We start from the raw sequence: 27,961 nt of genomic DNA, 5'->3' as shown, positions 1-27,961 counted from the left end.
ATGTTCTTGGTGGATGACCATAAGCCCCAAGTAGATGAAAACTGTCGCTGTGTGGTGTATGGTGTTTTGGGTATTTGGTTCATTAGAATGAAGAGGTAGAAAGGGCTGTGTGTTCAAGATGAGGCTGCTGAGGCTGGTGGGTTTTGAAATTTACAAATGACTCTCAGGTGGAGTCACATGATGCTGCATGAAGCAGTGGTGGGCGGGTGGTGAGAGCAGCTTCTCAGTTCTGGGACTCATGGGGCAAATGAAAGCTTTCACTGTCATCTGCCATAAATGAGTGAGTCCCATGGAAGAAGTGAACTCACCATCTCAGAAAAAGAGTGAACAGGGGAGAGACATGGCACCTGTTTATTCATTGATCCATTTTTTTTTTCATTCAATGAACATTTTTTGAGAGTGCCCTCCCAGTCACTGGAGGATAGAAATGAGCCCAGTTCCCATCCAAGGGGCCACAGCTGCAGAGGCAAGCCAGCACAAGGTGGGAGACAGCGCCCATGGCAGGGGGAACGGTGTGGCACTGTGCGGGGAAGAGGAAAGGCTTTGCAAGGAAGCTGAAGATGGGTGCACGTCGACCAAGCGCTGAGAAAGGGGATGGCCCTCCAGAGGGCAGGGCCACCTGTGCAGGGGCGAGACAGCAGCAGAGGCTGGAGGGCTACAGTGAATTCAGTCCAGCTGAGGAGTGGGGAGATGCAGGGGAAGTGGTCTTGGATGTCAGAAGGGCCTTCCCTCAGTGTCACTCTGGGGTCTGGGCTTTGTCCTGAAGGCAGCAGAAAGCTGTGCAGGTGTTCTAAGCCGGGCAGTGACATAATCATACTGGCATTCTAGAACAATCCCTGCGGCAGTCGTGTGTGAAACGGAGTGTGGGGAGGACAGGACCTTGAGCAGGAAGCCAGCTGGCCCCCTAGAGGGTTTCAGTGTCCGCTGCAATGTCCCCTGCTATTTTGCTGACACCTAAAGCAGTCGTGTCCTTCCTCAGGAGCAAGGTCGCAAGCTGAGGAGCACCATGCTGGAGCTGGAGAAGCAAGGCCTGGAAGCCATGGAAGAAATCCTGACCAGCTCCGAGCCACTGGACCCTGCGGAAGTGGGGGACCTTTTCTATGACTGTGTTGACACGGAGATTAAGTTCTTTAAGTGAAGTAAGCGTTCCCTTTCCCCTTCTTATTTAAGACTTCCCACCTTACTAAATTACCAGCAAAACAAACCACTCTCCTGTTTGAGTAAAATGAGAAAGTTAATATGTGGCCTCCTTTTCTGAAGCCAGATCAAACTGTTACCTTGTGTTCCACCTTGAATCTCACAGCGTCCCCTTCTGCAATGTAGGTCTCCTTCCTGTGCAGTGTAACATGTATCCCGTTGCCTGTTGTTCGGTTGTGTGACTAATTGTGGATTTTAAGCTGCTATTATTGTATTTCAGTGGCAATGGACACATTAGCCTTTTACAAGAGGACTAGAGTTCATCAAGCCTTGAAAGGCAGGCTTCACAGTGCCGAGTTGGCGGGAAAAGCAAATTCTTTTGAAGTCTTAGTCTTTCCCTCAGTAGCGGTTTCTTTCAGGTTAACAAGAGGCATTTGTGCACACACACAGGGCTCTTGTGTGTGTTGTCAAGGGGACCCTCCGTGGCCTCCCGTGAGTGCATGCCTGTAGTGCACAGTGTCTCTACAGGTGTCTTCTGGGGGGCAGAACCAATTGGAAGGAAGAAAGGGACCCCTCTCCAGTCCTGGCTCCTTCCTACATCCTGGGCTCCTGAAGAAGCTGTCTTCCCATTTTCCATGCGCTGTGCTTATGTGTGGTGGACTGCAGAGCTGCTTCCACTTACAGGAGAGCTGATAATTTGTTAGCTGGAACCTATTCACTTCCGAGATTCAGACATAGCCATGCTGGTGGCCTTCTGAATCACTGCATGGATGTCCCAGGAGGCAGCTCTCCCCACACAGCAGCACAGCCATCACAGGATTCCTTGTGTAGAAATGATTCCCAGTCTAGTTACCAACAGCTAGTCTAGGAGTAATTGAATGGCCCTATGGCACAGTTCCACCCACAGAGTAGTGAATCTCTCAGCCAAGGAGGGAAAGAAAAGGAAGAACTCTTGACTATTTAGATTCTAGTTAAATATCTGGAATCCTAGCAGTCACTACATTATCTCAGCAGAGAGACTTTAATTAAACTGATTTGTTTCCAATGTCGGGTTCACTTAAAGGATTTGACTTACCACCAGAGCATAGAAAAGCATGCAAGGAAGACCAGATGGGCTTAGCATTGGGAAGACAGAGGGCAAGGAGGTGATAGATGGATATAGAAGCATTTCTCTGCAGGATACCAGTTCAGGCCCCACCATTCCTGCCAAGGCCATTACATCCCACAAACCCAAATACAAAGCAGCTGACTTCCCTGGATCTTCCCCCCACTCCTCACACCTCACATGTCCCAGGAGCTGCCTTCATTCAGGCGGGTAGCTGCACTGGGCATGGGGTGGTGGTGGGAGCTTACCGCCACCTATTCAAGCTCTCAGCTACTCCTGAAACGGGCAGAGATGATGAACAGAAGTGTATGTAAATACAGCAGCTAGTGGGAGAGCACCAGTTGGGCCTAATCCTGCCTCATCATTCTTGGCAGGAATCTGCAAATGGAAACATTGTGAGTATCAGCAATCTGGGAAGTGACAGGGTTAATAACTCCTTCCCAGAAGCTGTATCATGAGATTTTGAGGGGACCGAGCCCTGTTACATGGATGTGAACAGTGAGGATCAGAGGTTTTATCAGAACACATTCTTTTTTTCTACCAACTCTCCAGAGCGTGAGTATAGGAGTGCCATGAGCTTTTTAGTCAGCAGTTTTGTAAACTCTGTATATAAAATCATTAACCACACATTGTGGGTGATGGGAAGACGATTTCAGCTGACAGAGTTAATGGCAACCAATAATGGTGGCCTGTAGCTGCTAAGAGCTTCACGCAGGTTTGGCCTGGGCTTTCACTGTTGGTGAATTTAGAGTGTCCTTTTAGGTGGGGCGGCTATTCTAAAAGTGTCTTTCTATCACTGTTAAGGGGGGGGGAAAGTGAGGTTCGAGGATGACGTAGGTAACTCTCCCCTCCCAAGTCCATGTTCCAAGTGGCTATGTAAAGCAAGATGATACAGAAAGCTGCTCTAAAATCTCACTGAGTGATTTCACCTTCGCCTACTATGAAATGTCTCATCAGACCTGACATGTCTGAGATAACCAAGGTGATTCAGGATTTGATCAAAAGAAGTCTAGTAAGAATTAATTACACAGAAGCCTCCTTTCATTTCTATGGGCCAAACAAAGGCCATGGATAACCCTACCCGCTTTATGTCATTACCCATTGGGAAACACAATGGCTACTTCTGTTAGGGTACATTGACCTTGGTCAAGCATCTTAAAGAAGGCAACCCTAATTGAGAGCTGTCTTGGCTAATACTCTGCACCACAATTGTGATGTCCTAGTCCTACCACTAGAGGGCATGGTACAGCCTGGCAAAAGTTAAAAGGGGTGTGGCAGCTCCCATCAGGTCTGGAGGTGGTCTATAAGCACAGTTGACAGTTGTGCATTGGGATGGGTGGAGAAAGACGACAAGAGAGCAGAGAATCTGCTGATGTGGCTGCGCTTACTTTTAGTGACTTTATGTACTTATATTAACAGCTGGAAATAGGTTGTTGGGTTTTGAGCAGGCTGTTATAGTGAGGAATGTTCATTTTTAAATGTTCCTAACAGATTTTGCTTTTGAAAAATGCTTGTTACATGAATAATTTGTGGACCAGGGATTGCTTTTCTGAAGGCAGTATAGGGAACATGAATATTCAAGATGAAATACAAAAATTATGTTTAAGGGTCATAGTGTATAAGTAGCTTCCTAGGAAACCCTTTGTGTATCTTTTCAGACTGGGGTGGGGGCTGAGCATGCTTGTGCAGAAAGAAGCCATAGCCAGAAAGGACAGAATCTCTCCCCCACTCCCTTGCCCCATAACCAAACATAAGCTAGCTAGTCTTGTCTAATAGATGGGATTTACTATAGGTGAAGATAGCCCTCATATTCAAGGACAGAAGCTCTGGCAGGAGTAAATTAGCAAAGCAGAAATAGTACCCTTTCATTCTTGGAGGTGCTTTGAAATTTTAGGTAGAATATAATCGAAATTATGGAGGTTCCTTAGTGCTCAATAATATAAGACCTGGTGTTATTAGAACGAGTCTTTCTTATAAACTAACAGAGCAGGTATATGCCTGTTAGACCTTAGCTGTGGGGTTCCTTTACTATTGGGTGAATCATTAGGTATAAAAAATAATCATCAACCAGGCAAATTACTTTGCTTCCTAGCTGATGTCATCCCACATTGGTACAGGTGTTATTCAGTACTGGGTGGTTCAGCAGGGAAGCCGGGTGGGACCAGTGTGTCTGTCATGAAACCACTAACTGCATTCCTGACTGAAGAGCCATCTGTCATTTATTGGGGAAGGTCTTCAGTTGAGCTCTCAGCCTTAGGAAGGAAGCACGTGGAGGAGGGACGGAGGAGGTTCCCTTGCTGGGCATGCTTCGTAGAGGGCCAGGAGCAGCAGGTCATGTGCACATGCCGTTGCAGCACAAGCTTATGCTTCCCGTAGCCGTGGCTTTTCATTCTGCACAGTCCCAGGTCCCAGCTCCCCTCTTATGGTTTCTGTCATAATGTGCTTTATCTGATTGACTCCAAACATCCCGAAATGTCACCTGCAGATTTCTCGTGGGAACCAATATGTACATGTTTGCAATTATGCTGTGAGAATTTAAATGTGTTAGATGGAAAATGCTATTGGCAGGGAATAATAATAAAAAAAAAAGAAAATCATTCTGTTTCCTGCAGTGGGAACTGGCCATGTAGTCTTAACAGTCTTTTGTACAAATATCTACAAAGCAGATAATATCCCTATCCAGTGCTTGCCCTTGGAATTGTCTCTAAATGCATCAAGCATACAATAAAAAAAACTGAAATTAACATCCAGTGGAGTGGCCTCTTCTGTTTTGTGTCTCGTGAATAAACGTGGGCCTCAGTCGCAATATAGAAAATGTATGAGAATGGATATATTTTTCTGGCTAGAATCTTTAGAAAACAGTCAGTTCAGCAGTTTCTTGCATCATGTAATGTTCTGTGGATAAATTCAGTCTTTAAATATAAAACCACAACGAAATATCACCTCACACCCGTCAGGATAGCTACTATTGAAAACAAAAACAACAACAACAACAAAAAACCACAACCAGAAAATAACAAATGTGGGTGAGGATGTGGAGAAATTGGAACCCTTATGTACTGTTGGTGGGAATGTAAAACAGTGCATCCATTGTGGGAAACAGTATGGAGTTGCTCAAAAAATGAAAAACAGAACTGCTGTATAATCGGGCAATCCCACTTCTGGGTATACACAAAAGAATTGAAAGTAGGGTCTGGAAGAGAGGTTGCACACCCATGTTCATAGTAGCACTATTCACAGTGCTAAAATCTGGAAGCAACTCAAATATCCACAGATGGAAGAATGGAGAAACAAAATGTGTTCTATCCATACAATGGAATATTATTCATCCTTAAAAAGTGGAAGCAGATTCTGACATGCTACATGGATGAACCTTAAGGATGTTATGCTCTGTGAAATCAACCAGTCACGAATATTATATGGTTTCATTTCTATGAGGTACCTAGAGCAGTCAAAATCACAGAGACGGAAATTAGAAGGGTGGTTGCTAGGGGCTGGAGGTGGGGGAGAAATTGGGAGTTACTGTTTAATGAGTATAGAGTTTCAGAAAGTTTCGCAAGATAAGTTATGGAGAGGGATGGTGGTGACGGTTGTACAACAATATGAATGTACGCAACACGAATGAATTAAGCACTAAACATGGTAAGCATGGTAGACTTTATGTGTATTTTACCATAGTTATTAGAATGGAAGTCTAGATCATCAGAGTGGCTGGTACTCTGTGCCAGACATCTTGATTCCAAGGCATCAGCAATGCCACAACAGGAGAGGATGCCACTTAGGGAAAAAGCCAGCTCTCTTCACTCCTGTGACCCAGAAATGCCAGCTTGCTTTCCATGACTCTCCACTGTGACAGGTAAAACGCAACTGAATGTCTTGCTCGTGAAGATAGGACTTAGTCACCTGCAATGAATGACCTATTTCAAGGTCAGGGTAGATGACTGCTCTGTTTACATGATAAGGAGCTGCTAATTCTGAAATTTTATTCCCAGCTCTCTTTTCATAAACATTGTACCCTCCTGCAAAGCTCTGGGTGACAAAGCCTGTATTCTTTTGCTGGGGCTGCCGTCACAAAGTACCACAAACTGGGCAGCGTAACCAGGAGAAATTTCCTGGTTCACAGTTCTGGAGCCCAGACGTCCCAGGAATAAGACATCTGCAGGGTTGGTTCCTTCTGAGGGCTGTGAGAAAGAATGTGTTTCATGTCTCTTGCCCACCTTCTGGTGGCTTGCTGGCAATCTTCAGCACTTTGGGACCCATAGAAGCAGCATCCTGATTATCTCTGCCTTCATCTTCATGTGGCGTTCTCCCTGTGTCTATGTCTGTGTCCAATTTCTTCATTTTATAAGGACACCAGTCATATCGCATCAGGGGCCCACCCTAATCCAGTATGACCTCATCTTAACTAACGATATCTGCAATGGGCCTATTTCTAAATAAGGTCACATTCTGAGGTACTGGGGGTTAGGACTTCTTCAACCTATGGATTTTTGTGGGGACACAATTCGACCCATAACAGAATGGGTGGGTGGAGGATGCTGAAGCCTCCCGGGGCACCGTCTGAGAATTTGGAACTTGCTTCTGGAGTCCATGGCCCTTCCCATTAACTTGCTCCCTCTCTAGGAAGCACGTCTCTCACACTTAGCTCCATAAAAGGTGCTTACACTTCTAGCTACTTCACCACGGCCATGCTCAATGTGACTCTGAAGTTCATCATCCACTTTGTAGATTATCTTCGGCCCTTACTTTTTCTTCCCCATTCAGACTGGCCCTTTTGGCCATCAAAGAGCCAATCTGTACCTCCACCAATAAGAGAGCAATAAAACGGCCCCTTAACTAATTCTGATGCAAAGTGTGTAGTAACCAGCTTTGAAATTAGTTTCTAGATGAGATTTATTTCAGGAACATCTATGAATTTTAATGACTGCTCTCTCATTGTTATCCAGCAGCAGAGTTAGTGAAGTGTGGTCTGAGTAGCTCAGCAAATACTGAATGAAGTGCCTGGGATGCAGCCAGCAGAGCCCTGTTTGTGCCCAAGCATGGAACCAGCAAACTGGCTGCTCCCCGGGGTGCAGGGTGTGCATCACTGGCTCCGTTGTGATCCAAGGGTTGAGGGCTTGCCCATGTGTATTACATCATTGAATCTTCACCAATATACACTCGGGTACATATTTATGTCCCCTTTTGACAAATGAGGAAGCTGAGGCACAGATTGTAAGAGGCAACTTGTAAGAGGCAAAATGGAGATTCAGATCCTGGTTTGCCTTCTAAGCACTAGCTCTGAGATAGCTTGCCTAGCAGATAAATCTCACCTCCCCTGAACCCTGTTCCCAAAGGTCCACCTTAAAATACTACAGGGGGATTCAAGATGATTCTGTTCCTACAGGAGGCTTTTTTGGGGGGTTTGCTGAGTTGGGAGTGGGGACTAAGTGCACGTAGAGGGAAGGTTGTTCTATTTCAACACAATTTAGCAGAATTTATAAGCAATACACTGCCCATTCTGTGTTAATCAAACTGAATAAATATAGTGTTATCTACTTTTTAAAAAATGCACCTGAGAAATTTTTTTTTTCTTGCTTGTTTTTTCCAAATACCAATTAGGCTAGTTAGCTCAAGAAAGAAAGGCCCTGTTTCTAACACAGTATGTTACAGCAAGCACCGTATCCATGTAAATATCTATTTTTTTTCTATCATTCTTAGAACTTCAACTTCTCCTGATCCTTAAAAATGTTTGGTTTAGATTGATACTGGTGACCACCGATGGGTTTTAACAAGGAAACGACTGGAAGCATTTCCACTTACTAAAGTTTATTAAGTACAAAGAAATGAATCTGCGGAAGGAGACATCAATAAATATAAAATACACGTGAAACATTGGAGGAGTCACAGACTGCAGTGTCAGTGAGAATATGTGACAATGGCGGGGACTGTGTGACTCAGATGTCTCTAAGTCTGAGTTTACAGTCAAGGGGTTAAACCTTTACAGCGCCCAAGGGACTCAGTGCACCAGCATGAGCTCGAAGGGTTGTGAATTCAGTGATAGGTCTCAAGGGGAGATGGGATGCCACATTCCTGAGATTTCTCCCTAATTGCCATTTTTGGTTTCTGCTCCTTCCTCCCCTCTGTCCTTTTTTTTTTTTGAGTTAGGGTCTCGCTCTGTTGCCCAGGCTAGAGTGCAGTGGTGCCATCTCAGCTCACTGCAACCTCCACCTCCAGGGTTCAAGCAATTCTTGTGCCTGAACCTCCCAAGTTGCTGGGATTACAGGTGTGAGCCACCATGCCTGGCTAATTTTTTGTATTTGAGTAGACAGGGTTTCACCATGTTGGCCAGGCTGGTCTTGAACTCCTAACCTCAAGTAATCCACCCACCTCAGCCTCCCATGCTGGGATTACCTGCATGAGCCACTGCTCCTGGCCCGCTCTGTCCTTAAATAGTGTTATTTTAATTTCCATCCCAGCCATAGGAGACACGAATGTCTAAACACCTCATTAGGGCAGGCAGTCTACTCTGAAGGTGGAATTGCCTTTGTCTAGGGTCTTCTTAATCAGGATCATTAAAACTTCTATAATTATTTTACACAACTGTGAGGGCAGTGGAGTGGACACTGTTATAATAATAAATTCTGGCTTTTTGGAAATCTTCCAGAACCAATAAAACAAATTAGTTATGCCCAGAGCTGATGACCTGCAAAAACTTCTACTTATTTAGCTGTTACAGTTTGGGCTTGATTCATTCCCCTGGAGAAGGGAATTTGACCCTGGCTCACTTGCTTCCATCTGGAATGAGAAAGCACAGCACTGCTGCAGGACACCACCTGAGTCGTTACTCCAGACAACAGTGAGGCAGATGCAGTCATGTTTGCCCACACCCTCCTGACCGGCTGCCTTTCTGGATGGCTTGGTCTGTTCATGATATACTTCAGGGGTGAATGTGTGCGTGGGTTGTTGCAAAGCAAATTTCTTTTTCGCTGGTTTCCCTCCCCTCCCTGCCTGATTTCCTTTAAAGGGCAGCTATTTTGAGCACAGCCCAGGGATCAGTCTGTTTCCTTCTATTTTTTCTCCTTCCTCTGTCACAGTCTTCCCCGACCAAAGATGGGGAACATCAGGGGTCAGGCAGCAAGCAAAAACACATTTCCACTCCCTACAGGATCAAGAAGAGGGAGTGAAGAGCAGGACCAGCCCGGCCTGACCTTTTCCATATTCAGAGTGGCTGAGCTTGCACACATCTCCCCACAGACAGGTGCCCACCACAAGGGAATGAATGTGGAGTTGTCAGGCAAGGTTCTCCTTTAGCTCAGAAGGGAGCTAGGTTTTGCCTGACGGGTGGCTCCAAGGATCCTAAGATGGGGGCAGTGAGGCACTAGGTATTTGTGGCAGGTATTTCACACGATGTTTCGTTCTACACTTTTTCATGTCATATTTTCCATGGAAGTCCACACTCGAAGCAAGGGCAGAAGGGGAGACCTCTGAGATACAACTGGTAGTTTAGCATAATGATGAGTTGTGTATGTTTTTAATCTGTAGGGAAGAAATACCAAAATCTCATAAAGCTGGCTACTGGGATGGGACTGGGAACTTGGAGGGAACAGGATGAAAGTGACAGAGACTTGGGCACGAGGGACACTGTAAACAGTAGGAGCACTGGCTACTTGGAGGATTATTCAGTTACAAAAGGGGCCCTGTGGTTGGCATCGGAGGGCCAAGCCCACTCTTGCCTTTACTTTGTGATGTATTACATTAGGCAGCAAAAAAAAAAAAAAAAAAAAAAAAAAAAATTCCCTGTACTGCAAAATGGAAGCGAGACATGGCACCTCGTTCCCTGGAGGCTGCGCGGCACTGTCTGGGTGTGGGGGACACGCTACTTCCTCTGAGCTGCATCATTGATAAGGCATTATTTGGTTTGATTTTGCAGTTAGTGTGATGAGAATATGAAATTATGCCAATAAGAAGCCGTTGTGGATATTTATAACTTTGGGGCTACCTGCAAACTAAGGACTCTCTACAAACGGTTCAGAATCTAGGAAGGGCCAGCCTGCAAGCAGATTCACAGTCATGGAGTGGGCACTAGGTGGAGGGACAGGGCTCTATCTGTGCTGACAAATGCCAAGATGCAATGCAAAAAATGGAAAAATGAGGGGTGTTTTAAAAAATATTACCGAAATAAAAGTCAATTAAAATACTGCTTTAAAGCCCGTGCAAATCACATATTTACAATAAATAAATTCTCAATTCCAAGCCTGTATGCCAACTGAATTACAGCTTGAGCATGGGGTGGGTGGGGTCTGACATGTTGTTCTGCAACCTGGAACCCCAGGACCTTCGCTTCATCTGTCTTCTCACCGAAGAGTCTTTAGAGATAACTGTGGAAACATAACAGAACATTACCAGGTGGAGTTAGAAGACTCTTGCACATGAAAGCCTTCCTCCTCCACCCCCCCAAACAGGCTGGGCCCCGAAGCTTCTCATTCATGCAAGGCTGTCAAGTTTGGGGAGATGCCTATGCAAAGAGCTGACTTTTACCCAAGGGGCTGTGGGTGGAAACCAGATGAAATGGGGTATGTAGTTGATGGTATGTGAGGACCTAATACTGTCTTATAAACATTTATAGAACCAATCATCAGCAATTCACTTGACAGGAAGCTCAGAGAAATAAAAAAAACGTGCTGGAGACCCCAAGTTAAGGCAGTGGAAAAGCAAGAAACCGATTTAGGCATTCAGACTTCCAGCCCAGGGCTCCCACCCCATGCACTGACCACTCTAGCCATAAAAAAGAGCAGTCCCTGGGGTATTGTTTGCAATGTCTAGAACCCAGTGATTTCTCAATTGTTTTGTGTCTCACTGCAGTGAGAATTAAGATGGTATCCAGTGAGATACAAAGATCTTCTTGACTGTGGAATGCCCAAAGGAGACTACAATCCACTTTGAGTAGACTTGCAGGCGGAGATCAAAACCACCAGACTCAGGTGATCTGGGTGCATGCCTGCCGTGAGGCTGGAGACCAGATCCTGCACAGTGTGTGACACGTTGGTAGTGAGGAGGATTCTTGTCCCTGGAGATTCTAACATGCCAGGAAAAGCAGTGAGGCATTATGGAAGAAGCACTGAACAAGAGGTCAGAAGGTTTGGGCATTGTGACATGGGCAAGTTCTTCAAATTTCTAGAAAGTTTTCTCTTTTATAAAAATGGCATTAAAGGTATCTCTCCAGCTTCCATCACAGGGTTATTAAAAGGATTAGATGATATAACATATGCAAGCTAACTGAAAAATGTAAAGAGCCATACGAATATGAAGGAACATGATTATGATTATTACTATATTTTCCTGGTCACGGGAATAATATAATCATTGTAGAAAACTTGGAAATTGCATAAACGCCAAAAGAAGAAAGTACAAATCAGCCATAGTCTTCTAGAGTGAATGCCTATTAACATTTTTTCTCCATTTTTATTGTGGTACAATATAAATAACATAAAATTTACACTAGTAACCTTTTTTTTTTTTTTTTTTGAGACGGAGTTTCACTCTTGTTGCCCAGGCTGGAGTGCAATGGCGTGATCTCAGCTCACCGCAACCTCCGTCCACGGGTTCAAGCGCTTCTCTTGCCTCAGCCTCCCGTGTAGCTGGGATTACAGATATGCGCCACCATGCCTGGCTAATTCTGTATTTTTAGTAGAGATGGGGTTTCTCCATGTTGGTCAGGCTGGTCTCGAACTCCCAACCTCAGGTGATCCGACTGCCTTGGCCTCCCAAAGTGCTGGGATTACAGGCATGAGCCACCACACCCAGCTGACTAGTAATCATTTTTAAGTGTATAGTTTAGGGGTATTAAATACATTCATAATGTTTTGCAACCAATCATCAGTACCCACTTTTGTTTAACTCTTTTCATCTTGTAAAACTGAGACTGTACCCATTAAACAATACCTCTCAATTTTCTTTTTCCCTCTAATCTCTGGCAAGCACCAGTCTACTTGCTGTTTCTACTACCGTAAGTACTTAGGTAAATGGAGGCATATATGGTGTCTGTCTTTTGTGAGTGGCTTATTTCACTTAGAATAATGTTCTCAAAGTTCATCCATGTTGAAGCATATTTTAGAACTTCCTACTTTTTAAGCTGGATAATATTCCACTGTACATGCGTGTATCACATTTTGTTTATCCATTCATCTATCTATGATACTTGAGTTGCTTCTACATTTTACTTTATTTTTCCAAGTTCAGGTCAGACAGGTAATGTGCCAAGGTTGTAACAAGGTTCAGAGAGTGGCACATCTCACACATGCACATGAATACTCAATCATCACGCTCATGAACTACAAGAGGATCAAGTTGCTTCTACATTTTAGCTATTGTAAATAATGCTGCTATGAACATGGGTGTACAAATATCTCTTCCAGGCTCTGCTTTAGGTTCTTTTGGGTATATACGCAGAAGTGGAAGTGCCAGATCATATGGTAATTCTGTTTTTTATATTTTGAGGAACTGCCATACTGTTTTCCACAGCAGCTGTACCATTTCACATTCTCACCAACAGTGCATAAGGGTTCCATTTTCTCCACATCTTTGCCACCACTTGTTATTTTGTTTTGTTTTGATAGCAGCCGTCTTGATGTGTATGAGGTGGTATCTCATTGTAATTTTGATTTTTATTTCTCTAATGATTAGTGATGCTGAGCAACTTTTCCTATGCTCATTGGCCATTTGTTTATCTTCTTTAGAGAAATGTCTATTCAAGTCCATTGCTCATTTTTAAATTAGGTTATTTGTTTTCTTGTTGAGTTTTATAAGTTCTGTATATATCATGGATATTAATCTCTTATCAGATACACGATATGAAAATACCTCCTCCCATTCTGTGGGTTGCCTTTTCTTTTTTATATTGTCTTTGATATGCAAATTTTAAAGATTTTCATGAAATCCAGTTTGCTTATTTTTTCTTCTGTTGCCTATGCCTTTAGTGTCATATCCAAGAAATCATTGTCAAACCCAGTGTCATGAAGGTTTTGCCCTGTGTTTTCTCCTAAGAGTTTTACAGTTTCAGGTCCTACATTTAGGTCTTCGATTCATTTTGAGTTAATTTTTGTACATGATATTAGAAGGGGTCCAACTTCATTCTTCTATGTGGGGATATCCAGTGTTCCTAGCATCATTTGTTGAAAATACTACCTTTTCCCTATTGAATGGTCTTGGCACCCTTGTTAAAATCATTTGACCATACATGCAAGGGTTTATTTCTTTTTATTCTATTTATTTATTGCTTTTTATTCTATCCCATTGGTCTATATGTCTGTCTTTATACCAGTACCACACTGTTTTGATTATTATAGTTTTGAAATAGGAAGTGTGAGTCCCCTAGATTTATTCTTCTTTTTCAAGATTGTTGTGGCTATCTCAAGGAGTTCCTTGAGATTCCATATGAATTTTAGGATTCTTCTTTTAGGATTCTGGGTTTTTCTATTTCTGAAGAAAATGTCATTGAGATTTCGGTAGGGTTTACACTGAATCTGTAGATTGCTTTGGGTAGTATTGACATCTTAACAATAATGTCTTCTAACCCATGAACATGGGATGTGTTTGCATTTATTTATGTCTTATTTAATTTATTTCAGCCATGTTTTATAGTTTTCATTATGCAAGTCTTTCACCTGCTTGGTTAACTGCTAAGTATTTCATTCTTTTCTATGCTATCATAAATGGAATTGTTTCTGTAATTTTCGTTACAGATTGCTCATTGTTAGTGTGTAGAAATACAACCATATTTTTGTGTGTTGACTTTGTATCCTGCTACTTTGCTGAATTATTTCTAACAGTTTTTTTTTTGGTGGAATCTTTAGGATTTTCTACATATAACAACATATCATCTGCAAACAGAGATAATTTTACTTCTTGCTTTCCAATTTGGATGTCTTTTATTTCTTTTTCTTGCCCAACTTTGCTCTGGATAGACTTCCAGTACTATGTTGAATAGAAGCGATGAAAGCAGGCATCCTTGCCTTGTTCCTGATCTTAAAGCAAAAGCTTTCAGTCTTTCACCATTGGGCATGTTCACTGTAGATTTTTCATATATGGCTTTTATTATGTTAAGGGAGTTTCCTTCTATTCCTAGTTTATTGAGAATTTTTTTTATCATGAAAAGGTGTTCAATTTTGTCAAATGCTTTTTCTGCATCAATTGAGATGATCATGTGTTTTTTTCCCTTCATCCTATTAATGCAATATATTGCATTAACTGATTTTTATATATTGAATAATCTTTGCCATGCAGGAATAAATCCTACTTGGTCATGGTATATAATCCTTTTAATATACTACTGGATTTGATTTGCTAGTATTTTATTGAGAATTTCTGCATCAGTGTTTATAAGGGATATTGGTCTACGGTTTTCTTGTGTCTTTGCTGGCTTTGGTATCAGGATAATGCTGGTCTCATAGAATAGATAAAAAGCGTTCCCTCCTCTTCAATTTTTTGGAAAGCTTTTAGAGGGATTGGGTTAGTTCTTTGAACGTTTGGCAGAATTCACCAGTGAAGCCATGAAGCCCAGAGCTCTTCTTTTTTGGGAGATATTTGATTAATGGTTAAATGTCCTTACTAGTTATAAGTCTATTCAGATTTTCTATTTCTTTTTTTTTGTGGGTACATAGTAGGTGTATATATTTATGGGGTACATGAGATGTTTTGATACAGGTATGCAATGAGTGATCATCACATCAAGGAAAATCGGGTATCCATCCCCTCAAGCATTTATCTTTGGGTTACAGACAATCCAGTTATATTCTTTGAGTTATTTTAAACTGCACCATTAAATTATTGTTGACTATAGTCACCCTGTTGTGCTATCAAATAGTAGGTCTTATTTATTCTAACTATTTTTTATACCAATTAACCATCCCCAACTCCACTCCCCCGCTAGTTTGTAACCATCCTTCTACTCTCTATCTTCTTTTTCTTTTTTTTTTTGAGACAGGGTTTCACTCTGTCACCCAGGGTGTAGTGCAGTGGTGCAATCCATAGCTCACTGCAGCCTCAAACTCCTGGGCTCAAGCAATCTTCTCACCTCAGTCTCCCAAGTAGCTAGACTACAGCCACGCACCACCATATCTGGCTAATTTAAAAATTTTTTTGTAGAGACAGGGTTCGCTATGTTGTCTAGGCTGGCTCAGACTCCTGGCCTCAAGCAATTCTCCCACCTTAACCTCCCAAAGACCTGTGATTACATGTGTAAGCCACCATGCCCAGCCAGATTTTCTATTTCATTGTGATTTGGTCTTGGTAGGTTTTGTGTTTTTAGAAATGTGTCCATTTCATCTAGGTCATCCAACTTTTTGGCATAAAAGTATTTATAATACTCTCTTATAATCCTTTTTATTTCAGTTGGATTAGTAGTAATGTATCCACTTTCATTTCTGATTTTAGCAGTTTGAGTCTTCTCTGTTTTTTCCTTAGTCTATCTAACTAAAGGTTTGTCAGTTTTGTTAATCTTTTCAATAACCAACTTTTGGTTTTGTTGATTTTCTGTATTGTTTTTCTGTTCTCTATTTCATTGATCTCTGTTTTAATTTTCTTCATTTCCTTCCTTCTTGCTAGCTTTAGGTTTAGTTTGTTCTTCTTTTTCTAGCTCTTTACATTGTAAAATTAGGTTGCTGATTTGATAACTTTCTTGTTTTTTAATGTAACAATTTATAGCTATAAATCTCCCTCTTAGCACTGCTTTCAGTGTTCCATAAATTTTGGTATGTTGTATGTTCATTTCAATTAATCTCCAAGTGTTTTATAGTTTCCTTTCTGATTTATTCTTTGATCCATTGGTTGTTTAAGAGTGTAGTGTTTAATTTCTACAAATTTGTGAATTTTCCAGTTTTACTTCTGTTCTTGATTTATAATTTTATTCCACTGTGCTAGGAAAGATATTTTGTCTGATATCTATCTTTTTTTTTTTTTTTTTTTGAGATGGAGTTTCACTCTTGTTGCCCAGGCTAGAGTGCAATGGCACGGTCTTGGCTTACTGCAACCTCTGTCTCCTGGGTTCAAGTGATTCTCCCACCTCAGCCTCCCAAGTAGCTGGGACTACACGTGCCCACCACCATGCCCGGGTATTTTTTGTATTTTAGTAGAGATGGGTTTTCACCATGTTCCAGGCTGATCTGGAACTCCTGACCTCAGGTGATCCACCCACCTAGGCCTCTCAAAGTGCCAGGATTACAGGCATGAGCCACCATGCCTGGCCTGATATCTATCTTTTAAAATCATTTAAGACACTTAATTTGTGGCCTAACAAATGGACTCTCCTGGAAAATGTCTCATGTGCATTTAAGAAGAATGTATATACTGCTGTTGTTGGGTAGACTGTACTGTATATGTCTGTTATATACAGCTTTTTTGTGTTCTCTATTTCTTTCCTTATCTCCTGTCTGGTTGTTTCACCCATTATTAGGAGTAGGATATTTGATTCTTCAGCTATTATTATAGGTCTGTTTCTCACTTTAATTCTGTCAGTTTTGCTTCATGCATTTTGATGGTCTGTTATTAGGTGAACTAATATCTGTAATTGTTATGTCTTCTTGCTCTATTGAAACTTGTATTAACATATAATGTCCTTTTTGTTTCTTGTAAACTTTTTGATTTAATGTCTATTTTGCCTGATGTTAGTAGAGCCACCCCTGCTCTCTTTTGATCACAGTAGGAATATCTCTTTCCATCCTTTCACTTTCAACCTATTTGTCTTTATAGCTAAACTGAGTCTCTTGTAAACAGCATACTGTTGGATCAGATTTTTAAAAATCCATTCTGCCAATCTCTGTCTTTTGATTGGAAAGTTTAATCCGTTTGCATTTGAAGCAATTACTGACAAGGAGGGATTTACTCTGTCATTTTGCTACTTCTTTTCTATATAGCTTTTTTGTACCTCATACCCTTTCTTTTCTGTTTAGTTGACTTTTTTTGTAGTGAAATGTTTAAATTTGTTTCTCATTTCCTTTTGTATATATTCTATAGCTATTTTCTGTGTGGTTACCATGGTGTCTTAGTCTTTTCAGGCTGCTATAACAAAGCATCTTACACTGAGTAATTTATGAAAACAGCAGAAATTTATTTCTTAAATTTGTAGAGGCTGGGAAGTCCAAGATCAAGGCACCAACAGATATGGTGTCTTGTGAGGGCTCGCTGTCTGCTAGATGGTGCCTTCAAACTGCATCTTCACATGGTGAAAGGGATGAACAAGCTCCCTCATGCCTATTTTATAAGGGCACTAATCTCATTCATGAGGGCTCTGCCCTCATGGTTTATCACCTCCCCAAAGGCCCAACTTTTTTAATACTGTCACATTAGGGATTAGGTTTTGGCATATGAACTTTGAGGGACACAAACATTCAGGCCATAGCCCATAGGAATTACACTTAACATCCTAAAGTTGTAAGACTATAATTTGATTTTATAGTAGCTTAGATTCAATAACATACAAAATATCTGCTTTTTTACAGCTCCATCACCACTCCTTTTAGTTGTTGATGTGAACAAATTACATCTTTATATACTGTGTGCCCCAAAACATAAATTAATAAGTCTTTTAAATACACTAGTCTCTTAAATTATGTATAACCCTAAATATATAGTTACAAACCAAAGTTACAATAACACTAGCTTTTAAACTAAAAAATTTAAAAATGTTTTGTCTTTTAAATCATGTAGAAAACAAAAAGTATAGTTACAAACTGTTGTTACAATAATATTAGATTTTATAATTGGCCATATAGTTACCTTTAGTGAGGTCATTGTTTCTTCCTACAGCTTCAAGTTACTGTTTCGTGTCCTTTCATTTGACCCTTTAGGACTCCCTTGGGTATTCTTGCAGGGCAGGTCTAGTGGTAACAAACTCCCTCAGCTTTTGTTTATCTGTGAATATCTTAATTTCTCCCTCACTTTTTAAGAATGGTTTTGCCAGGTAGAAAATTACGGCTTGACAGTTTTTTCTTTTAGCACTTGGAATATATGGGCTCACCACCTTCTGGCCTTCAAAGTTTGGATGATAAATTTACTGATAATCTTACTGAAGATCCCTTGTATGTGATGAGTCACTTCTCTCTTGCTGTTTTCAAGATTTTCTCTTTGCCTTTTGAAAATTTGATTATAGTGTTTCTTTGGTGTGGTTTTTTAGTTCATCTTACTTTACTGAGCATTTTGGATGTTTATATTCATGCCTTTCATCAAATTTGGAGAGTTTTGAGCTATTATTTCTTCAGAGAGTCTTTTTTACCCTTTTTCTTTCCTTTCTCCTTCTAGAACTCCCACAATAAGCGTGTTAATCTGCTAGATGGTCTCCCACAGGTCTCTTAGGCTTTGTTCACTTTTAATTTTTTTTCTTTCTGTTCTTCTGACTCAATAATTTCAGTTGTCCTATCTTCAAGTTTGTTGATTCTTTCATCTGCCTGCTCAAGTCTGCCTTTTATTCCCTCTAGTAAATTTTTCATTTCATTTGTTGTATTTTTCAGCTCCAGAAAATGTTTTTTTCCTCTTTATTGATACTTCCATTTTGTTCATACATCCGTTTCTTGACTTTCTCCACATTTTCCTTTAGTTCTTTGAGCATCTTTAAGACAGTTGTTTTAAAGTCTTTGTCTAGTAGATCTCCCATCAGGTCTTTTTTAAGAGCAGTCTCTATTGATTTGTTTTTTTTCTTCCTTTGAATGGGCCATACTCTCCTGTTTCTTTGTATGATGTGATTTTTGTTGTTGTTGAAAACTCTACATTTTAATCTAATAATGTGGTAACTCTAGATATCAATTCTCTCTGTCCCCCAGGGTTTGCTGGTTTTTCTTATTGTTTTTGTTCATTTTATTTTTTTGATTGTTGTAGGCTGTCTCTGTGCTAAGAATCAGTCTGAGGTGTAATCTTAAGGTCTTCTTGGTCTTTTCTGAGCCTGTGCCTTTCCCTGGGCATATGTGGTCACTTTCTAATTTTCATCATATATGTAGTAGCCTTTGAATGTTCATCTTTAATGTTTGGCTCCCAAATGGGGAAAAAAAAAGAGCAAGGACAGGAGGAACAAAATGGCCACCAGCCCTTGAAATCCCCAGGAGGCCACTTCAGCCAGAGGGAAAGGGATTTACAACAATAAGAGGAGGTGCAACAATGGCTGCCCATCTCTTTATTTGTACCTCTGTGATCAGAAGCAGCAATAACCAATCAGAGAACAGATTCCCCAGTATCTGGAGGACAGGGTTTTTTTTTTGTGCCCACCTTGGCTCCTGCAAGCTGTATGCAAGCTGCTCCAGGAACACGTGCCCAGTTGCCTGCCATGGGGTGGGGGGTGGAGGATGAGTAGTTACTATTGTACTAAGAGCACAATTTACTGTCCAAGCTTTCCCATGGAAGTTTCAAGCCTTTAATGAATCCCAGAGTTCCAAAATACATGAGACAAATTACATCAGACAGATTCTGCCAATGCAATTGTTGTCCACAGATTCCTGGTGCTTTCTCCTCTGCCATCTTCTCAGAATTCTCTCTACCTGTTAACAATATTGTGTATATTCTTCCTGTCTTTTTTCCTGTGTATATATACTTCTTCCTTAACTACAATCATACACACAGTTTTGAACCTGTGATCGTCTAAGAATCGTTACTGCAATTCTTGCATCAGCTGTGGTTAGAAAAGGGGGATACTTATCTGCTAGAGGATGTACTTTTTCCTCTGAGGAACTCATCCTAGCTTCCAGGAACCTAGCCTCTTCCTTCTCAGGTCACTTTCCTTGATGTTCCACACAGTTGCAGAATTGCCTGGTTTAACTGCAAGTGACTCTGTAGTCTGTCACATAGTATTCAGAAATGGGGAGATTATTGTTCGACTGAATACATGTTTTCAAAGAAACAAAGGGCTTTTAAAGATGAGACCCTGTCATGTGCAGGGAAATGTGTCCAGGTTAGGAAATAATTCGGTTCAAGATGCCCTGGGTGAGATTAAAGGTGTTTCTTCAAGGACTGTCTTATCACAAAAGCAGCTGTCTGGCTTGCCTTCTAGTTCTGTTCATTTCTTGTGGGTACTAGTACTTGAATTGTGACTAAATTTGGCCAAAATCAATTATAACATTGGTGGGGGAAAAAAAAACTCCAAGTGTGCTAAAAGAAACCATGTATTCTACAGATGAGAGAGAATACTGAATTATGTTTTATACATGTTATTCAGTTTTTCTCACAGGCCATCATAACCAAGGAAGAATGGGAAGTGATTGGCATGATTGTTGCAGAATGTCAGAGTTGCTAAACTTGCTTCTATATGTAGTGGTGATTCCAGGGAAGCCCCCTTTTGTCACACTTCAGATTTTGAAATGGTGAGTGTTTCATTCTGGCTTGAAAAAAGGTCCACCAAATGGCTTTCCCTGAGGAAAAGGAGTGTGAGGAAAAATATAAAGCTGTTTAGGAGAAAGCATACCCTTACCATTTCTGTGCCTCCTGAGGAGAATTCCTGGTTTTACATTCAGAGACATGAGGCTTGTGTTACCTGAGAATTTCTGCCTTTGATGTCATCAGAGCTCTGCCCGACTGCTTCCGCTTGGAGCCAGGGACCAGGTGTACGGCCTGAAGGAAAAAAGAACAATCTCATTATCTATTGGCCCAGGGACCGGGTGTGCATGTTTCACAGAGAAACTTTCTCTAAATCAGCACTTAAAACAATGAAACCTTCAGGATCCTGGCCCTAGACTGTCTGTTTCCACCACTCCCATCTTCTATGTCAAAGACCATGGATGCAGAAGAGTCATGTCTAATACTCTGAGAAGAGAACAAATTATTAAGGCCCATCAAATAAATGCACGTTAGAACTTCTTTACCCAAATATACCATCTCCAGGGATGCTCATCCATTATCCACAATGTGCCCAGCAATACCAGGGCTGGCTAAAAAAGTAAAAGATGAGTAACTGCTGACAAATCAGGCCTCCCATCCATGAGGAACCAAATCATTCTCTCAAGTGTGCTGTGCTTAAGTATTACACAAGTTACATATGAATATCTTCTTATAGTTAAGAATTCAAAAAATAAAGGAGATAATGGAAAAAAACCTCAAAGTTCCTCTTCTCTTCTTGTTCCTCCCCCAATCCCAATTTTCTATCCCAGAGTCACCATGGCTAAAAGTTTGATGTTTATCTCTTCAATTTTTTTTTTTCTTTTTGGTATTTCCATACATACATCTGTATATATACAGATACATGTTTTGGTTGGTCTACCCAAGCTTAAATCCCCATTCCCAGGTGTTCCAGAACTCTCCCTTCAACTGGTTATTCCAAATGGTGTTTCCTCTGTTGCACTGGTAGGACACCTATCTATTCTGTTTCTGTCATGAACTAGGCATTAAATAATCATGTCCCAAAGTCTCCAGAACAATCCAGATTGCTGTGCTATTTAAAAAGCAACAGAAAAGCATGAATGTTCATTATAGACTATTTATAATAGTGAACAATTAATGACCTGTGTTCAACATAGGTTTTTAGGTAACGTAGGGTTCAGTATTACATGATGGAGTACTAAGCACCTGTTTTTTTATTATTTTATTTTTCATTTTATTTTATTTTTTAGACAAGGTCTCCCTCTGTCTCCCAGGCTGGAATGCAGTGATATGATCATGACTCACTGCAGCCTCAACCTTCTGGACTCAAGTGATCCTTCCACCTCAGCCTCCTGAGTAGCTGGGATCACAGGTGTGCATCACCACATTCAGCTAACTTTTAAAATTTTTTGTAGAGACAGGGTCTCACTATGTTTCCCAGGCTGGTCTTAAACTCCCAGACTCGAGTGATCCTCCCGCCTTTGCCTCCCAAAATTCTGGGATTACAGGCATGAGCTACTGCACCCTGCAGGAAACTGAATATTTACAAAGACTCATTTTGGAGAAATGAATTTGTATAAATAGAATGATCTCAACTATTTTAAAAATTCATTGAGAAATACATAATAATATTCTGAAATGTTTCCTTCTAAGTGGTAGAATCACCATTAAAAAAAAAAAACACGCTCTTTTTTGTTTGTTTGTTTTGAGACAGAGTCTTGCCACAGGCTGGAGTGCAGTGGTGCTATCTCAACTCACTGCAACCTCCGCCTCCCAGGTTCAAGCAATTCTGATTCCTCAGCCTCCTGAGTAGCTAGGACTACAGGTGCTTGCCACCATGCCTGGCTAATTTTTTTGATATTTTTAGTAGAGACAAGGTTTTGCCATGTTGGCCAGGCTTATCTCGAACTCCTGGGCTCAAGTGATCCTCCCACCTTGGCCTCCCAAAGTGCTGGGATTATAGGCATGAGCCACCATGCCTGGCCAAAAAACTCCCTTCAGAAATATTTTTTCAACTTTTCTACAACATATATAAGTCATTATAAAAACCTTTTAAGGTAAGGTACAATTTTTTAAATTGGACTATCACGTAGAAGGGTCTCTAAAACTTATAACACATTAATCAAATGGACACTGTAATTTTCATTAAAACTTCTTAATGAGTGCACTTGTCCTAGAATAAAGATATTTTAGAGCAAAATATATAGTAACTGCTAGATTTTTAGCTAGTTTATTAACTGAGCAAAAAGTAAAAAAAAAAAAAAAAGAAGAAGAAGAAGAAGAAAACACTAATATACAGCCCCTTGTCTAATTCCATGTGAGAGGGTAGCCTTGGAAATGACTGTTCTTAGATTTAAGAAACTCCTGTCCACTACAGAAAGACCTTCTAGGCCAGGGGTCTGCAATCTTGGCTTTATTGACATTTGGGCTGTATAACTCTCTATTGTGGGGGCGGTCCTGTGTGTTGCAGAATGTTTAATAGCATCCCCGGTCTCTACGCACTAGATGCCAGTTGCACACCCCAGCCCCCTGCTTATGGCCACTTGTAACAACCCAAAAATGGCTCCAGACATTGCCAAATGTCTCCTGGGAGGCAAAATTCCCCCTGTTTGGGAACCACTAGGCAATAAAATAGGCTTCACCATAGGTTAGCAATTCCCACTGGTTTTCTTTCTTTTCTTTCTTTCTTTCTTTTTTTTTTTTTTTTTTTTTTTTGAGACAGGGACTTGCTCTGGAGCGCAGTGGCATGATCTCAGCTTACTGCAACCTCTGTCTCCCAGGCTCAAGCAATCCTGTCACCTCAGCCTCCCGAGTAGCTGGGACTACAGGTGCACACCACCACACCTGGCTACTTTTTTATATTTTTGGTAGTAAAAAATGGGGCTTCAAATAGAAAAATAGAAACATGAAAATAGAAACATGGGGTTTTGCCATGTTGGCCAGGATGGTCTTGAACTCCTGAGCTCAAGCGATCCGCCCACCTCAGCCTCCCAAAGTGTCGGGATTATAGACATGAGCCATCGCACCTGGCTCTTCCCACTGGTTTTCATAAATATGACAAGAAACAATATTGGGGAGGTTAAAGGGGAATCAATTTCTCCCTAAAACAGAAAGGCAAACTCTGTCTTGTAAAAAAAAAAAAAAAAAAAAAAAAAAATCACTGCTGCTAGAAGTGAGTGGCCGGGACTTAGTCAGGGTTTGTCAGAGTGCTTTTAATCCAAATATTCCCTTAAAGGGAATTTCCCTTATGAGATGCCACCAGAATCTCAGAATTCAAAAGCAGAGCCATTCTGCTGAAGTAGTCCTTCACATGGGCTCCCTTCCCACAGAAGGGCTTTGCAGATTCACCAAATCAGGGGTTTTCACACTTGGGATACTGTAACTCATCAGCAGAAATATTGTTTACCTCTCTCCTCAATCTCAAGCACCTACTGCACTTAAGAGCAGGCTGAGTGGACACTGCTTCCATCTCCTGTCCACAGATGGCTCTTCTTCCCTCCCATTCATAACCACCCAGAATAACCACCAGCCCTGGGCTGCAATTCCCTCCCAGAATAACCACCAGCCCTGGGCTGCAATTCCTGTGAGCCAGGGAGGGGGCTTTGAAGCAAACCTAACTGTCAGCTCTGGGCCAACACCGTCTGACTAAGCTATGGGCTGCCCTGGCATCAGAGTGGAGAGACAGTGCAATGTGGTGCAAGGAGTGCTGGACCCCAGGGCAGAGAACTTGGACTCTAGCCCCAGCTTTGCCACCAGCTGTAAACAGGGCAGGCCACTTTACTTCTGCTTTGGCTTCTCTAGCTGTACAGGAAGGAGTTGGGCTGTCTGACCTCAAAGGGCCTTTCTTGTTCTTACATTGGAGGCTTCTCATCATCTCTAAGTGAAGGAAATGACAAGTGTGATTGGAAATGATCATTCTAGTGTCTTCTAGGTTTAAACCTTAGAGACTGCATATCTGGCCTTTCCTCTCATCCCCCACTGTTGTTGTCATCATTTTGGCTGGTATGAGAGCCTCCATCACTCCTTCCTCAACCTCCTCTCCTCGCAGAGAACTGAGCCCGCTCAGTCTCTGAGAGAGGTCACCCTGCATACCAGCGGACCTCACTTCCTGTCCACAGGTGCTTGGGCCAGAGGTGAGCTAATCATATTCTCTCTCCTGACAACTTGCAATTTAAAAAGTAGATTTCAAGATTGTTAAGAGCAATGCACATGTATTATAAAAACTTGAACTAATTAGTAAAGAAAATTAATATCACCCAACTTTCACCATTGAGCGATAACCACTTTTAATATTTTCGTGTACAGGCTGGGTGCAGTGGCTCACACCTGTAATCCCAGCACTTTGGGAGGCTGAGGCAGGCGGATCACTTGAGGCCAGGAGTTGAGAACAGCCTGAACAACATGGCAAAACTGCATCTCTACTAAAAATACAAAAATTAGCTGGGCGTGGTGGCACACACCTGTAGTCCCAGCTACTCAAGAGGCTGAGGCAGGAGAATCACTTGAACCTGGGAGGCAGAGGCTGCAGTGAGACAAGATTGCACCATTGTACTCGAGCCAGGGCAATAGAGTGAGCCAGGGCAATAGAGTGAGACCTAATCTCTAAATAAATGAATAAATAAATAAATAAAATATTTTGGTGTACATATTTCTAGTCTCTTCTCTCTTCTATTTGATCAACTTCTCCTTTTCTGCAGATACACGAATTTATTTTTTACAAAATGTAGATTTTATTTTATATACTTTTTTGTATACATTTTTTGGTATTGTTTTTACATAACAAGGTGTTTTTACGTAAAAAGGTAAACATTTTCCCATGTCACTAAATATTTGATAGCCCCATTTTGTAATGGTTACATAGCGTTCCATTGTGTGGCTCTGCCTCCATTTATTTAACCCCAATACTGGAGATGTGTGCTATTTCCAAATTGTTTTATTATGTAAATGGTTCAGCAATGCATATATGAGTGAACATTTTAATTTATTAATTCAACAAATACGTAAGGAGTGTCTGTGTGCCTCACTTTATTCTGAGAGCTGGAAATAAGCCAGTGAATAAAAACTGCTGCAGTCTCTGCCATTCAGGGCCTTACACTGTACTGCGGAGGCAGACAAGTAGCAGGTAAATAATGTCTGGAGGTGATAAATGCTTTGAAGACAATTAAAAAACAGTGTAAAGAGAATAAAAAGTGATAGGGCAGGAAGAGCTTCTGTCTTATACAGGGTAGTCAGGGGAGACCTCTCTGATAAGTTACTGCCATGGATTGAATCGTGTTTCTCCAAAATTCATATGTGGAAGCCCTAGCCCCAGTATGATGGTATTTGGAGGTGTGGCTTTTGGCAGGTCGTTAGGTGCAAATGAAGTCATGAGGATGGGACCCTCATGATGGGATTAGTGCCCTTATAAAACAGGACACCAGGAAGCTTGTGTGGCACCAAGTGTGCACACAGTGAGAAGGTAGCCCTCTGCAAGCCAGGAAGAGAGCCCTCCCCAGAAACTAAATTGACCAGCACCTTGATCTTGGACTTCTCAGCCTCCAGAACCATGAGAAAATAAATTTCTGTTGTTTGTGCCACCCAGTCTATGGTATTTTGTTATGGCAGCCTGAGCTAAGACAGGTACCATTTGATCAAAGATCAAGAGAAAGTAGGGAGACGGTCACATGGATATTCGGAGAAAGTATACTAAAAAGTACACAAAATAAAACCTAAATTTTGTAAAAAATAGTTTGTATATTTAGGTAGAAAAGAAATTGATCAAATAAAGAGAGAAAAGACCAGAAATATGTACACCAATGTATTAAAAGTGGTTATCATCACTCAGAACCAGGTATCAGAAGGAACAGCAAATGCAGAGCCCAGGAACAAATGTGTACTTGGAATGTTCTGGAAATTGCAGGTGTTGTTAGAGCACAATGAGGTAGGAGGAGAGTGGTGAAAGGGGAGGGAGGAAGTTCACGTAGGTCTTATGAACCATGATAGGAATTTCCAGTTGACTTGGGGCGAGATGGGGATTCCCTGGAGGATTCTGAGCGGAGGGGAGTGACTGGACTTGGACTGTAGACAAATCACTTGGGCTGCAGTGTGAAGCAGTGGATCCTGTTAGCAGGTTCCAGCAACAATTCAGGTGAGGAATGACAGTGGCTTAGGGCAGAATGGGAGTGGCAGAGGAGGTAAGAGAGATCGGATTCTGGGTGCATTTCAAGGAGAGACACCCGAGTTCACTGGTAAGTTGGATGCAGGAGTAGAAGAGAGAAGTCAAAGACGACTCTGAAGTGTGTGGTGTAACAAAAAACTGAGAAGGAGTCAGTGTACAGTGGAAGGAGAAAGGAGAGAGCTGTCATAAAATCTAAATGAAGAAGTGTTTCAGAAAGAGGGAGTGACGGGCTGAGGCTAGAGCCTCTGACACTGTAGTTGGCAACATGGAGCTCCACTGGTGGCCTTGGTAAGAGCGCTTACCATGGTGCTGAGGGGAGAAAGCCTGGGAGGACTTGGCTCCAGAGAGAACAGGGGGTGGGGAAGTGGAGGCAGTGTTGGCTAAGAGAAGAGCAGAAAAATGGCTCAGGGACCAGAGTAGGTCCAGAGAGATACTTTATAGACATTACAGTACCTTCATGGGTTCAAAGAAACAAAGGATTGTCCTGGAAGGACAGAAGCTGTGGTAAAAGAGTGGGGTGCTGGAAGACAGCTTTTGAAGAGGTATGGTCAGCAGTAAAAACCAGGCTTCACCAAGGAAAGCTCATCAGGGCAGAGGTTCTTACTCCCCAGCTGCCTTCCGCAAAGATGGAAATAAATACCCTCCTACTGGCAGTATGTTTTGTTCTCTGTCTTGGGACATCTAATTCTTTAATTTTTATGACATGAACTATTCCATACTGTTGAAATTACTGCAGTGCCTAATGGAGAGTTTCCATTGCTAATGGAAATAACGGTGCGTGTTTTTACTGTTAAGTGTAAAGTAACTCTATTTTAAAATAGGAGTTCAATCACAAAGAGATACCACCTCACACCTGTCAGAATGGCCACTATACAACAAAAATAAGATAAAATAAAAAACAGAAAATAAAAATTGTCAGAGAGAATATAGAGAAATTGAAACACTTGCACACTGATGGTAGAAGTGTAAAATGGCCCAGTAGATATGAAAACAGTATAGCATTTCCTCAAAAAATTAAAAATGGAATTACCATACGATCCAGCAATTCTACTTTGGGTATTGAAAGCAGGGACTTGAACAGATATTTGTACTTCCATGTTCAGAGCATTCACAGAAGTTAAGAGGTGGAAGCAGCCCAAGTGTCTATCAACAGATTAATGGATAACAAAATGTGGTACATCCATACGATGGAATACTATTCAGCCTTAAAAAGGAAATAAATTTTGACATATGCTACAACATAGATGAAT

General features: G+C 41.4%; 2 protein-coding genes and 1 non-coding gene across 9 annotated transcripts in view; 1 reads left to right on the top strand and 2 right to left on the bottom strand.

The window, feature by feature from the left end:
• The window catches only part of SCRN1 (secernin 1), a 70,187-nt gene extending 65,195 nt beyond the window's left edge, over positions 1–4,992 (top strand). For 3 of the 5 annotated variants that reach the window (NM_001145514.1, NM_001145513.1, XM_047421085.1), the window contains one exon: positions 980–4,992. In NM_001145514.1, coding sequence (NP_001138986.1) covers positions 980–1,138 — 159 coding nt within the window. In that variant the 3' untranslated portion in view covers positions 1,139–4,992. The remainder of the gene's footprint in view (positions 1–979) is intronic. The other 2 variants (NM_001145515.2, NM_014766.5) reach the window with 1 other exon arrangement.
• WIPF3 (WAS/WASL interacting protein family member 3) overlaps positions 8,034–27,961 on the bottom strand; it is a 110,554-nt gene continuing 90,626 nt past the window's right edge. For 2 of the 3 annotated variants that reach the window (NM_001080529.3, XM_017012522.2), the window contains 2 exons: positions 20,733–20,809; positions 8,034–10,602 (listed from right to left, as the gene is read on the bottom strand). In NM_001080529.3, the coding sequence (NP_001073998.2) occupies positions 10,579–10,602; positions 20,733–20,809 (101 nt within the window). In that variant the 3' untranslated portion in view covers positions 8,034–10,578. Of the gene's footprint in view, positions 10,603–19,596; positions 20,810–27,961 lie in introns of those variants that run through there. The other variant, NM_001391973.1, reaches the window with a different exon arrangement.
• On the bottom strand, positions 12,463–12,567 carry LOC124901827 (small nucleolar RNA U13). Its single transcript, XR_007060663.1, has one exon. It is a non-coding gene; the product is annotated as a small nucleolar RNA U13 (small nucleolar RNA).

This window comes from Homo sapiens, chromosome 7, assembly GCF_000001405.40.
Source record: "Homo sapiens chromosome 7, GRCh38.p14 Primary Assembly".
NCBI classification, from domain to species: domain Eukaryota; kingdom Metazoa; phylum Chordata; class Mammalia; order Primates; family Hominidae; genus Homo; species Homo sapiens.
Note: the sequence above shows the minus strand (reverse complement) of the source record. Positions and strands in the feature narration are given on the sequence as shown.